This window comes from Homo sapiens, chromosome 11 (assembly GCF_000001405.40).
Source record: "Homo sapiens chromosome 11, GRCh38.p14 Primary Assembly".
Classification (NCBI taxonomy): Eukaryota; Metazoa; Chordata; class Mammalia; order Primates; family Hominidae; genus Homo; species Homo sapiens.
The window spans coordinates 16,056,111-16,071,264 of record NC_000011.10 but is presented as its reverse complement, the minus strand read 5'-3'; the positions used below and the strand labels follow the sequence as shown (position 1 = coordinate 16,071,264).

General features: G+C 35.5%; 1 protein-coding gene across 6 annotated transcripts in view, besides 2 other annotated features; it reads left to right on the top strand.

The window, feature by feature from the left end:
• Positions 1 to 15,154, top strand: part of SOX6 (SRY-box transcription factor 6) — a 772,029-nt gene that overhangs the window by 667,213 nt on the left and 89,662 nt on the right. The window lies entirely within an intron of this gene.
• Positions 5,992 to 6,136: an enhancer, noted in NCBI's record as "145 bp 11:16086747 sequence used in MPRA reporter constructs". NCBI's record gives its function as "activates a minimal TATA-containing promoter with rs2953060 allelic activity by MPRAs in C283T melanocytes {active_cell/tissue: C283T}" and the evidence as "EXISTENCE:reporter gene assay evidence [ECO:0000049][PMID:36423637]".
• Position 6,064: a transcriptional cis regulatory region, noted in NCBI's record as "rs2953060 or 11:16086747 MPRA-significant variant associated with a GWAS melanoma risk locus at 11p15.2". NCBI's record gives its function as "allelic transcriptional activity by MPRAs in C283T melanocytes {active_cell/tissue: C283T}" and the evidence as "EXISTENCE:reporter gene assay evidence [ECO:0000049][PMID:36423637]".

Here is a 15,154-nt window from a genome sequence, read left to right as displayed (position 1 = left end):
GTTTCCTGGGACAAGAGGAAGTTACAGCTGCTGGCTGAGTTCAGGCTGAAGTGAGACCACTGGGCTAGAAGCTCTAGCAGGTGTTGCCTGCCTGGCTACCAGTGGAAGGGTTTGGTAAAGTTGCCTGCCCTGCTGTCTGGGTGTTTCCTGGGACAAGAGGAAGTTACAGCTGCTGGCTGAGTTCAGGCTGAAGTGGGACCACTGGGCCAGAAGCTGGTGCTGAGCCCTGTCTGGTAAGGGGAGGTGAAGCAATCTTACTGCTCTCAGGCACCACAACTGTGACCTCTGTTGGAGCTATGGTGCTGGTGCTGATCTGTTCTCAGTCCCAAGACTTGTAGAGGTCCCCTTGGACTCAAGAATTGCTTCTGTAAAATGGCTGGGTAGCTCTCTGCCTCAGTCTAGAAGTGTGATGGGAGGGATATAGGGGGTTAGGAGGATTCTCCCATTCCTAGTCTTGCACAGGTCCCTGTGGAGAGTGTGCCCCCCCGCCAGGGGGCTCTCACCCTTTCCCATGTTAGAGAAGTTCTCCTGGCTCTGCGTTGAGCCCAGACAGACTGGTGCCCAGTTTCACTCGTCTCTGCTCTCGGTGTCCTTCTGTTGCCTTAATGGATACTGACGTGGTTTCAGAGATGATTGGCTTGCAGGGTCAGTGTTCACTAACCCTTTTGTTTCTTCTCTGTGAGAGCAGCACACATGGGCTGCTTCTAGTCTACCATCTTGGCCCCCTCTCCCCACATTGTTTCTTAATTATTTGCAACTATGTTCCATAAGGAAATGCTCTCCTGAATGCATTCCAAAATAATTGGTGCAATTCAAGAATGAATTCCAGCTTACTTTTGTAACAATGGACTGGGTGATTTGTTATCTGATGGATTCAGATTTTTTTTAAGTTTCTTAGTGTAAGGGTAGGACCTTTGGTCTGAGCCTATTCTCTTTCCCTTTCTACAGCTTCTCCTCACCTCCACACCCAATGCAGCCTCTGCCCCATTAGCTCAAAGAGTTATGTTAGAGGAGCAAACTACCCAGTGCTTGGAAAAATAGTCAAGAGGACCTTTAGCTAGGGAAACTATTCTTTCAATTTATTTTTATTATTTATTTATTTATTTATTTGAGATGGAGTCTCACTCTGTTGCCCAGGCTGGAGTGCAGTGGCGCAATCTCGGCACACTGCAAGCTCCGCCTCCCAGGTTCACGCCATTCTCCTGCCTCAACCTCCCGAGTAGCTGGGACTACAGGCGCCCGCCACCACGCCTGGCTAATTTTTTATATTTTTAGTAGAGACGGGGTTTCACGTGTTAGCAAGGATGGTCGCGATCTCCTGACCTCATGATCCACCTGCCTCAACCTCCCAAAGTGCTGGGATTACAGGCGTGAGCCACCGTGCCCAGCCTCAATTATTTTTCTGTTCTTGACATTCTTGAGCTGGCTGCAGGGGTTAATGAATGAATCAAATGGGTCCTGGTTCTCATGGGTTACAGTCAATGCTTGTTCCATTTTTCTTTTGGTTGTTGTGAAAAGGCAATTGGCAGAAGTCTCAAAGTGGGTGAAAATAAATCTGCTCTCACCTGAGACAAATTTTTGGCCCTTTATGTGTATTTGCATAAACTTTAATTTTAAAAATCTGAAAACACCTTAACATGATTATAATTACCTTAACCTAATTACTAAGGTTGCAGTTTAAAATATGTACATTTTAAAACAAATATTAAAATAAAATTCTACAACCTAAATTATCCTACGGTGCCCAAAGATTGCTTTACGAGTACTTGTAAGGTACATTTCTCTTTAAGGATAATGGTAGAAAAAAACATTTTTTTCATATAACCCAAACCAAAAGTTGTGATAGAATGTACAAATTCTATTTGCAGTTCACTAAGAGAACAGAACACAACGAGAAATGAGTATGTATGAACAGTCGATAGAGAAAGTAGGAAACCTGGGTTCTAGATTTCATTCTACTTACTGTTCACCAAGCTGATATTTTTATGCATATCACTTTCCTTTCCTAGGCATGAGCTTTTTTCCTTCTGTGTAGCAAAGAGATTGTATTAGAATATGATGTTCACAATTCTTTCTTCTGCTACCATTTTGTTTTCTGGTGTTTGCAAGAAAATCAGTGCATTACATGGTGAACCCACATGCTTATAACTGTAAGAAGACAGAAACAAAGAAAGATGACCTCCATCTCTGGAGGTCACCTCTGGAGAAAAGGGTGTGGGCTGAAATGATAGCAATTCCAAGAAGATAGAGGCAAGAATGGATATGAAAGAGGTTTTAATGGTCAGCATTAACAGAACCTCTGAAAATGTCAGGCATTATGTTAGGTGCTAGGGACATAAAGATAAATAAGCCTCAGGGTTTCCCCTAACGAACTCAGAATTTGGTGGGAGAAAAAAATATGGGAAGAAAAAAGAAATTCCATAATTTGCACAGGGTCAAAGGTTGAGCTATGATAGGAGCACAAAGGAGGCAGTAGTCAGATAACGCTTCAAGGAAAAAGTGGTTCTTGAGTTTAGACTGAAAAGATGAGTAGGATTGTGACAGACAGGTAGTTTTAATAAGAAAGGAAAAAATGGTGCAATAGAAAAATATGCAGGAGGGGCAAGGAGATTTACTTGGGAATAAACCTAATATGTAGGACTGGGAGTGTAGTAGTTCTTCCCCTACTCCCGTTCTCTCATCTCAAATATTAGGAGTGTAGTTGAACAAGTACCTTCTATGCTGAAAAAAAGGACTTCAGTTCTTTCTTTCCATAAAATCACAGCTATATTTCCTAGATCATTTTGTTGACATTGGAGATTTATGAAAAGTAAAAGTATTTGTGATCTTTTTCAAATAATTATTTGAAGCTCTCTCCCTACCCTTCCTTTCAGTCTGTAATGACTCGTTATGGACACACTTTCTTCTCTGTGCCAAACAAGCACAAAATTAGGCTGCTTAATTACGCCTGTCACCATTTCCACTTTCTCACAGCTTAACTTGCCCAGCTTTATAATATGTCTTGCTTGGTAGGCAAAGAAGTGGTCATCAGCATTGTTTTGAGTAGGTAACAAAATCCAGGATATCCCTGGAGAACTGAACTAGGCTTGAGGCTTGGTGTTAGGCAGCATCAATCAAATAAATGATGACATCTCCTTAAGGATGCCTCCCTACCCTACCCTACCGTACCCTACTTGTTTCCTCCAACTTCTATTGTCCCCTTGAATGATGTCTGTCACACTAGAAGAGAATCTGTTACAGGGTAACTTGGCTAGGCCTGGGGTTCCCCGATATTTTGTGGAACTATAGCAAATGGGGATAAATATAAGGGTAAGAGATAATGTCTTTCAGTAGCACTGATTGAATCTGTTTCTATAGAATAGTAATTTTTTTTCTTCCTTTCTTTATCCTCTACAAATAGGAAGGTAGTATTTGAAGGGGAATTTTTTTAAATTGAAATTTTAATTTTTGTGGGCACATAGTAGGTGAATATTTATTTCATGTATGAGATACATGAAATGTTTGGATATGGACATGCAATGCATAATAATCACATCATATAATGTGGGGTATCCATCCTCTCAAGCATTTATCCTTTGTGTTACAAACAATCCAGTTACACTATTTTAGTTATTTTTAAAATGTACATTTAAATTATTATTGACTTGCATTAGTCCATCCTCATGCTGCTAATGAGGACATACCAGAGACTGGGTAATTTATAAAGAAAAAGAGGTTTAATGGACTCAGAGTTCCACATGGCTGGGAAGGCCTCACAATCATGGCAGAAGGTGAAGGAGGAGCAAAGGCACGTCTTACATGGTGTCAGGCAAGAGGGTGTGTGCAGGGGAACCGCTCTTTATAAAACCATCAGATCTCCCAAGACTTATTCACTATCATGAGAACAGCACGGGAAAAACCCAGCCCCCATGTTTCAATTACCTCTCACTGGGTCCCTCCACAACACATGGGGATTATGGGAACTACAATTCAAGATGAAATTTGGGTGGGGACACAACAAAACCATATTATTTTGCCCCAGTCTCCTCCCAAATCTCATGTCTTCACATTTCAAAACACAATCATGCCTTTCCAGCAGTCTCCCAAAGTCTTAACTCATTCCAGTATTAGCCCAAAAGTCCAAGTCTAAAGTCTCACCTGAAACAAGGCAAGTTTCTTCTTCCTATGAGCCTGTAAAATCAGAAGCAAGTTAGTTAATTCCTAGATACAATGGGAGTAACAGGCATTGGGTAACTTCACCCATTCCAAATGGGAGAAATTGGCCAAAACAAAGGGGCTACAGGCCCTATGCAAGTCTGAAATCCAGCAGGGCAGTCAAATCTTAAAGCTTCAAAATGATCTTCTTTGACTCCATGTCCCACATCTAGGTCAAACTGATGCAAAAGGTGGGCTCCTATGGCCTTGGGCATGACTATAGTCACCCTGTTGAGATATCAACTTAGGTCTTATCCATTCTTTCTATTTATCTGTACCTATGAACCATCCTTACCTGCCCCAAACCCTCCCATTATCCTTCCTAGCCTCTGATAACCATCTTTCTACTCTCTATCTCCATGAGCTCAATTGTTTTGATTTTTAGATCCATAAATAAGTGAGAACACATGATGTTTGTCTTTCTGTGCCTGGCTTACTTCCCTTGGCATAATGACCTCCAGTTCCATCATGTTGTTGCAAATGACAATCTCATTTTTATATGACTGAATAGTACTCCACTGTGTATAAGTACCACATTTTCTTTACTCATTCATCTGTTGATGGACACTTAGATTGCTTGCAAACTTTGGTATTGCAAACAGTGCTGCAATAAACATGGGGATGCGGATATCTCTTTGATATACTGATTTCCTTTCTTTTAGGCATATACCAGCTGTGGGACTGCTAGATCATATGGTAACTCTATTATTAGCTTTTTGAGGAACCTCCAAATTGTGCTCCATAGTGGTTGTACTAATTTACATTCTCACCAACAGTGTACAGGGATTCCCATGTTTTTGCCAGCGTTTGTTATTGACCGTCTTTTGGATATAAGTCATTTAACTGGGGTGAGATGATAATGTCATTGTAGTTTTGATTTACATTTCTCTGACTAGTGATGTTGAGCAACTTTTCATATGCCTGTTTGCCATTTGTATGTCTTCTTTTGAGAAACACCTATTCAAATATTTTACCCATGTTTTAATTGGATTAATATATTTTTTCCAAAGAGTTGTTTGAGCTCCTTATATATTCTAGTTATAAATCCCCTGTCAGATGAGTAGTTTGCAAATATTTTCTCCCATTATTGGGATTGTCTCTTCACTTTGTTGATTGTTTCCTTTGCTGTGCAGAAGATTTTTAACTTGGTTTGATTCTATTTGTCCATTTTTGCTTTGGTTGCCTGTTCTTGTGGGATATTACTCAAGAAATCTTTGCCCAGACCCATATCCTGGAGAGTTTCCTCAATGTTTGCTTGCAGTAGTTTCATACATTGAGGTCTTGTCTAAGAATTAAGTTTTTAATTCATTTGGATTTGATTTTTGTATAAGGCTAGTGATGGGGTCTAGTTTCATTCTTCTGCATATGAATATCCTGTCTTTCTAGCCCCATTTATTGAAGAGATTGTCTTTTCCCCAGCATGTATTCTTGGCAGCTTTGTTAAAAATGAGTTCACTGTAGGTGTGTGGATTTGTTTCTGGGTTCTCTATTCTGTTCCATTGGCCTATGTGCCTGTTTTTATGCCAGTACTATGCTGTTTTGGTTACTATAAGTTTTAGGATTTTTTTTCTATTTCTGTGAAGAATGTCATTGGTATTTTGATGTGGATTGCATGGAATTTCTAGATTGTTTTGGGTAGCATGGACATTTTAACAATATTGATTCTTCCAATTCATGAACACAAAATATCTTTCCATTTTTTGATTTCCTCTTCACTTTCTTTCATCAGTATTTTATAGTTTTCCTAAGAGAGATCTTTTACTTTTTTAGTTAATTTTTAGGCATTTAATTTTATTTGTGACTATTGTAAGTGGCATTACTTTTTAATTTCTTTTTCAGATTGTTCACTGTTAGAATATAGAAATGCTATTGATTTTTACATGTTGATTTTATATCCTGCAACTTTGCTGAACGTATTTATCAGTTCTAATAGGGTTTTTGTGGAGTCTTCAGGTTTTTCCAAATATAAGATCATATCATCTGTAAACAAGGATAATTTGACTTCATCCTTTTCAATTTGGATACCCTTTGTTTTTTTCTCTTGTCTGATTGCTCTAGCTAGGACTTCCAGTAATATGTTGAATAACAGTGTTGAAAGTGGACATCTTTGTCATGTTCCAGATCTTAGAGGAAAGGCTTTCTGTTTTTCTCCATTGAGTATGGTATTTGCTGTGTGTCTGTCATATACGGCTTTTATTATATTGAGGCATATTCCTTCTATCCCCAGTTTTTTTAGGGTTTTTAAATCAGGAAGGGATGTTGAATTTTATCAATGCTTTTTCAGCATCAGTTGAAATGATCATATGATTTTTGTTCTTCATTCTGTTGATATGATGTATCACATTGATTGATTTGTATATGTTGCGCCATCCTTGCATCCCAGGGATAAATCCCACTTGGTCATGATGAATGATATTTTTTAATGTATTGTCAGACTTGGTTTACTAGTATTTTGTTGAGGATTTTTGCATCAATATTCATCAGAGGTAATATGGCTTCATATATATATATGGCTTCATATATATATATGGCTTCATATATATATATATATGTATGGCTTTGTCTGGTTTTGGTATCAAAGTAGTACTGGCCTTGTAGAATGAGTATGGAAGTATTCTGAGAGATGATTTTTATTTCTTTCTTTCCGGGGTGGATTCTGGTAGGCTACTTAATAAATTAATAAATTGAAATGACAGAGCACAGAAGAATCTATTCCTAAAAGAATTTGGTGTGTAAGGTTGTGCCTTCTTTTTTACTGTTAGTTTTTGTATACTGGAGCATACTGGTCCCAATTTAAAGCCCCCCTCAATTCCCATTTTATCAAGCTCTGTCTACTTATACTTTGCATAGTTCTTCTTTTTATCTTATCAGTCTATTAATGTGGGGTTAATTTTTTAGGGGTTTTCTACCATGGCTTGAAGATTTGGAGAAGGACATTTTCTAGATCTGATTGTGACACTTATTCCTTCAAGGTGACTGGTGGTGCTGTTACCTCTTTCTTGTCCATTTGAAGATTGTGAAATGCCATTTTAGAGAGTAACTGTAAGACATTTGAAAATACAATTTTCTGTTTGAGAGCTCAGAATAGCAGTCACATCATAATCTTTCTTCTCCTTGGACAGTGATCCTTTTCTGATGACTAGGAACAAGAAATTGGTTTCATTGTGGTTCACTGTGTAGCTTATTTAAAATAATTTAATTTTAAAAGCAGAAAGAATACAGGCTTAAAAGTAAGATTGACTAAAATGGATAATAATTTCTATCTTATATAATAATTGTGAAGATTAAATGAAATAATAAATGTAAAATATCCAGCCCAGTGCCTCACTGAGTTTAGTTCTCAATGTATATTTGTTGAATTAATGCATTAATGAATTGGGGTGATTATTGGAAAACTAGATGACTGGTTATGTTGCTACATGAAAATCATATGTTTATAATGAGAAAAGGCCTTGTACTTTTTCTGTTTGGCACACTCCATTAGAGATCCTAAATGATTGTATCATAGAAAGCAGGTATATATATATATATATATATATATATATATATATATATATATATATATATATATATAAAATTATGGTAAATATAGTTACATCGTGACACCACCCATTATAATTTGACATCAGTTTGGCTATATTTGGACAAAGCATGCTTCTCTTTTCAAATACAGTCATGGTATAACATCAATTACTGACACAATACATTTCTTAGGTCCTGCTATAGACCATTATGTGTACTGGAAGGCACTGAAGGGTTTCACCATGAGGCTGAGTCTGATTGGTAGGACCTACTGCTTTGGGTTAAATCTAAACAGGCTTGGTTATTAAAGTGTCACTAACATCCAAATGGAAGACAGATTTATCTTTAAAGCTAGCCACAGCACACAAAGCAGTGCAAATACTGTTAGAAGTATTTATTTGTGGATTGGTGAGATCTTCACAGGACTTTCTTAATTCAATTTATTTAAGAGATTGGTCAAATTTATCGATGCTGGATATGTGCTTGAAAGGTGCAAAACTTGTCTAATTTTATATCCATTTCTACTTTTAAGTGATAGATATTCTGGTAATGTTGAAGTGATAGCTAGAGAGTTCTTCTTCTAACTTCAATACTAATTATATGATCTTGGGCAAGCTACTTGCTAGATCTTAGCTCGTTGGCAGAATAAGGAAGTCAGACTAACCTAAATGATTTGATAATGTCCTTTCAGTTCTATGTGTCAAATATCTCATTGTTGAGCTTACCAAGATTTTAATGCTAGCTACTTTATTAAAGCTGCCAGTATTAAAGGTGGAACATTTTAAGCCATAAAGTAAAATCATTTCTTAAAGTGCTTTTATAAAATAAGTAATTTTATAATTTTGAAAAAATATTTAGCTAGGCTTATTTTTACACATATACACTGCTGGTCTTTTATATATCTTGGATAAAGAAACAATTCAATATCCCAAACAATCAGTGTGAATTTTTCAAAATTGAAACAGGAAAAACATTCTATATTTAGGCTGAAACAGTCTTCACCTAAGTTTAAATGTTTATGGGACTTTGGCTAAGCCTGTCATAAGCTTTACTATATTGTTGATTTTTAAACCTCAACTATGTTTAGAAATGAATATTCATTATTATAATCATTATGACTGTGAACTATGATCTGAGAATTATATGTGGAATGACATTTTTGTAGACCCTTATGTAATAGTTAATCAGAATTTAACCTTTTCTGTTCCTAAACCATTAGTCTGCAAAGAAATTTTCTAACTAAAGCTATTTGGTTAGAATAAATAGTTTTTTTTTGTTATTAACTAGACTGTTAATAACTACACTGTTATTAACTAGACTATCTGTGTTAATAACTAGACTGAGAAGAAAAAATGTTACTACTCATTAGTTATGGCTCAAACAGTATAATTTGTATTAGAAAATTTTAAGGCCATTTGCAAAAGTATTCTCCCCTTCTGCAGATTGTCTGTTCATTCTGTTGATTGATTATTTTGCTGTGCAGAAGCTTTTTAGTTTAACGTAGTCTCATTTGTCTATTTTTGTTTTTGTTTCTTTTGTGTTTGAGGTTTTAGTTATGAATTCTTTGCCTAAACCAATGCCCAGAAGAGTTTTCTTAAGTCTTCTTCTGGTATTTTAATAGTTTCAGTCTTACATTTATGTCTTTAATCCATCTTGAGTTGATTTTTGTATATGGGGAGAGATAGGCATTCAGTCTCATTCTCCTGCATATGCAATCCAATTTTCCCAGCACCATTTATTGAAAAGAATGTCCTTTTGCCAATACATGTTCTTATCAATTTTGTCAAAGATCAGCTGGCTCTAGGTATGTGGCTTTATTTCTGAGTTCTCTATTCTGTTCCATTGATCTACGTGTCTATTTTTACACAAGTACCATACTGTTTTGATTACTATAGGTTTGTAGTGTAATTTGAAGTCAGGTAATATGATGCCTCCAGCTTTGTTCTTTTTGCTTAGGATTGCCTTGACTCTTGGGGCTCTTTTTTGGTTGCATATGAATTTTAGGATTGTTTTTTCTAATTTGATTAAAAATGACATTGGTATTTTTATAGAGATTGAATTGAATCTCTAAATTCTTTGGGGGCAGTATGGTCATTTTAACAATACCGGTTCTTCTAATCCATGACCATTGGATGTTTTTCCATTTGTTTATGTCATCTACAATTTTTTTCATCAGTGTTCTATAGTTTTCCTTGTACAGATTTTTCACCTCTTTGTTTAAATATATTCCTGTTTTTTTTTTTTTGTAGCTATTGTAACTGGGATTGCCTTCTTTCTTTGGTTTTCAGCTAGATTTTTTTAGGTGTCTAGAAATGCTACTACTGTTCAGTGAAGCTAACAGTTACTGAGCAGCTGTCTAGTCAAAATTTTAGCAAACTACTTCAAAAGAATAATTTCCTGTGAAACAGTGTGATTAAACTTGACTAAATTTTTTTGCCTTTTATTTTTTAACCTTAATATCATAAAATTGTTTGTCACATATATAATAAATATAATGATGTACCACTTGTGTTGCCTCATTTATAGATGCTGTCTTTCCTTCCTAATATGCAATGATTTTGTATAGTATGTTAAATCAGAAACTATTGATTGGGTATCTGTTATTTGCAAGGCACCATTATTGGTGCTAAGCATTCAAAAATAATTAGATCATATCTTCAGTGAGCTTACAGTGTATCAAGCAAGATAAGATACATGTGCATAATTACACATGAAGTTTAAAATACTGATAAACACCACAAGAAAAGTGCAGATCAAGTGTTAAGGATTTATATTTTATATCTCCTTTAGAGCTATGTGCTTTGAATTCTCCTCAGCTCCTAACACAGAGTCTTACACATGGAACAAATTCAACTGATGTTAGTTTAGAGGGTGAGCTGCGAAATTATTTTGTAAGCTTATACCTATTCATTTAATGACATTCATATTATCCAAGACAAACTTAAAATCTTCAATCTGAATAGAATGATATTTATACTAAAATCATATGTTTTGTTAGACAGAATATGGATATTTTAATTTTTGTGAATACCTTCTATCTTTTCACTGGACTCAATTTTCTGATTTCTATTTCAAGGCCCATTCTACTAAATCTTACCTGATATCCTACTGTCCAGTTTACTCAGCTTTGAAAAGGATTATGGAATGTGGCTGTACCTCTTCCTTTCTCTAATGTATCAGTAATCACAACTCACAAGAACCAGCTCTATGGAATCTCAGAGTTTATGTGGTCTTGCCTTCCTTAGGTACAACCCACTTCAAAGGGCTGTAAAATAAATGATTATCAGAGCTTTAAAAGAAGCAATTAACACTACTCTTTTCCTGAAAAGTAATTGTATTATTCACTCAATTTGAAGGATTCATAGTCAACTTTTTTAAAAAAAAATAGATGTATTTCCAAAAATATGTTTTTCTGCATTTTTCACTAGTTCAAGTTTCCCAAAGGACTCAAGATTGAGTAAAATTGACATTTATTTGATCTTTTTAATGATTGAGGTAAAAAGCATAAATGATAACCAAGGACTGTTAGCATCTCTAAGATTTCCTGACTCTTTAATACTCATAGTAGGATATATTGGTTATGATACCAGCTACAGGACTATATAGTCAACATGTTTCATCTCGTAACCATCTTGACTCCATTCAGTATAGAACTTTTTTTCACTGCCTTAATCCAAGCAGACATTTTCAGAAGCTTGACCTGTCCCCATTTTGAAGACATCTGGCTGAATTTCAAAGGAAGATGATACAACAGAGTAAAAGAGAAACCAAAAAGATGCCCCCCTCATTTTGCCTAAGTGCTAGCAAAGCACTGACTCTGCTTGTGACTGACTCTGCTTGTGAATTTTTCTTGCCACTGAGTCATTACATACAGAATTATGAAACTTTAATTTCTTTAGAGGCTTGTTATATTAGAAAAATTGTTCCAAAGAAAGCAACAATCATGACATAAGCACATCTGGCTCTTGCAAATTATTCTTTATTAAGCTTTCATTTAATTACATGTGCTGAAAGGTCTGTTTTTGATTACTGTAATTTTTTTTATTTGTCCATCTGAATGATAGAAATGCTGGAAATTACATTCAAACCACCTGTTTTTTCTCCCCTACTCATATGGCAAAGTTTGAGCTATTTTCTCCGTGGTTGATGATCTAGGAAGCTTTCTATTTATTATGATAGAAATGTGACCATCAAGGTAGTGGCTTAACTTTGATTATAAGAAGAAAAGAAAATATTTGAATGAAGTTTTCAAGCATTAAACAGTGTTAAGATTGGAGTATCTGACTTCTGGTTAACCACAGCAGATTAACATTTTCATTTATTGCCAGTTTTACCCAAATCCTAGTAAATTGATGGTTAAGGATTATAGGTGTAAACCTTCAAGTAGAAATGGAAAGAGAAGACAAAAAATTTGGAATATGAGAAGTGGATAGATGAGTTATAACTGTCTTAGTAAAAAAGAGAAAGCTGATACCTAAGCTTTAGGAGTGTAAAGCCAAAAAGAATCAAGCCCAGTTGGGAGCTGAACCTCTAAAATGCTTAGGAATTGAAGGCATCATGTATCATTAAAGGAACAGTTGTAAAAGGTGGAACTGTAGACAGGATGACTGGTTGAAAATAGACATAAGATGATCCCTCCCTAATGTCATGCAACCTGGTAACTACCATCCCTGCCTCCTCCCTTCCAGCCCCATGAGCACATAACCTCACAGAAGTCACTGGAGATTTATTCTCTTGAAAAGTAGAACTTGAGAGGTTTATGTCTTGGGACACCAGGCATAGCTGAGAATGAGTGATGTGCCATGGTGAAAATCAGGAAATCTGCAGGATAGACCAGACTATGAGATTCTTCTCCTGCCTTCTCTTGCTTGGCTCATGTAATGATGGCATACAAGTCTATACACAAATCAAGGCAAGAATTTGAAGACATCTCTCCAAGAAAATGGTCTAGTCTAAGATAAATGACCTGTAGATATTGATATTTGTGATTTCCCAATGAAAAAGCAGACTTTCTGCATCATTACCTTATGCTGAAGCCCATAAATCAATAAGTCTACCCCATACTTAGACCTTCCAGTCAGCTTTTTAGAACGTTGCTGTTATATATGAACAAACAGCCAATGAATACCAGACACTTTAGAAAAGCCCCTAATATGAAAGAGTTCAAAGACCTTGGAAGAAAAGAGTGGTAACAATGCAGAGAACAGAAAACATTAAAAACAAACCCAAATCTATAATTAATATTGTCAAACAGAATAGAGAACAGGATGCTATAAAAAGAAGCAATCAGAGAATAAGAGTATCTTTAAAAATATAATGGTAGAAACTTTAAAACATTCAGAGAAGTTTTGGAAGATGAAGTTGCAAAAACTCTGTCATAGAGTATAACAAAATGTCAAAGATTAGCAAATAAAAAGAAAAAATAAGAAAAATAGAGGGTTAATAAGGAAATCTAATATTTATCAAATATGAATACAGAGGAGAGAAAATTATCAATGAAAAACATCAAAAAAGTTTCCTAGAATACAAAGACATGAGTTTGGATCGAAAAGACTGAACAATGAATGTAAAAGTCAACAGAAGGACATAATAGTGAAATTTCAGAACATTCAGTGGAAAGGGAAGATCCTGATGCTTTTAGAGAAGGAAATAGATTACATACAAAGGAATGTATGTATCAGGAAGCAAAATAGTGTCAGGCTTCCTTAATAACAAGAATAGGAAGGCAACATATCAATATCTTTGGAATTCTGAGGCAGAATTATTTTCAACTTAGAATTCTATACCAGTCAAACTACAACTAAGTGAGAAGAATATTAGTTCCTAAATAATTAATCTCACATTCACCTTTCTCAGGAAGCTCTTGTACCAAAATGAGACAGTTAACTAAAAGGGAAGAAAACATGATACTCGGGAAACAAGGACACCAGTACAAGAGAGGCAAAAGGAATTACAAGTGCCATAGATCTGCAGTAGGTAGGCCTGAGGAATAAATTAGTTCAGATTTGGAGCAAGAAGATTGAGAATTCCAGAAAGGATGTCTCCAAGGGAGAAACCAGGATTCAGAGATTACCTGATATATTCAATTACGTTGGGTAGAGTTTTACTGATTTCATGCAGAGTTTGAGAATTAGTGATAGTTACATAAAAATTATGAAAACAAAATATGAGGCAAATCTTAAATCTAACAAAATAAAAAGTTGAGAAATAAAATTAAGTATAGTTTACTACATAGCTATTATCTTCATAAAATAATATAAAACAGTAAACACTAATTTTAAAATTTGTGACATTAACATTAAGAGATTGGAGAGAGAAGCATGGGAGCACATGTGGGGTTCAATGTAGGAAAGTGAAACTTTCATTTTCCTTTATACTGTAGATAATGATATAACATTTAGAATGATTTACAAATAAGGATATAAATACAAGTTAAACCATTAAATGAATTGAAGGGAATGGTCTCCACAGAACAGGGGGTGAGATAAGGAGGACCAGGGTAGGAAAATGAAGGTCATCCTGCAAGCTGTGGAGACTGTGCACTGTACATTTTGGTCATGCTCTTTTTGTTGTTGTTGTTTTGGTTTTTTGTTTTTTAAAACCTTCAAGTACTATTTATCTTGTAAAGCTGTATACAAGAATGACTTTGATAAAAATGAAAATTATATGAAAAGAGGTTAGCCCACCTGTCTTTCAATCTTTGGCTTTAATTTAGTGAAATCAACATATTTTGAGGTTGATAATTTAAAGATTTGTAATGTCAGATTGTCTGCTTATCATGTCTCAGAGAAGAGGAACCATTTTAAGCTGAGTAAATAGAATGAGTAATAAGATCATTGGTTTGCCAAAGAGAACTATAGAAAATACTTCAGAAAAGGCCTTGAAACAGCAATGAGAATATGACGAAGATAAATGTGGAATCCCAGGCAAAGGCAGGACCTGAAGAGAGAAGTGTGGTGATCTGTTTGGAAGCATGAAGGAAGCACTTTGTTACCTGGTTTGGGTTCAGAGAAGCTTGACTTAAAAAACAACAAAACTGCTACCAATCTGGCCATATTCTCTTGAGGATTATGTTATACGCTGCCTAGAAATAAGACCCTGGGTAAACAATGACTGCCACTAGGCCTTAGTGGCCTTGGGAACAGCACTCATTATTCAGAAGGATCAGAATACCCAGAGATGCAGAGTCAGAGCTAAATAAGAATGATACAGTTCTTCCAAGAATCCTTAGAAATGTTCAGGTTAGTTTCTTAATTCATGAATATTAATATTAAACAAGTGGACATCCCAGACATTTAAATAACTTTTAATAAAGATTTTAGGCATTAAAAAGCATCTTAGAGGCTACTTAGTTGAATTCCTTTTTGTACAATTAAAAAAAAAAACCTGAATTCTAAAGAGATCAAATCCTTTGTCCAGGATCATAAAGTTGTTGCTA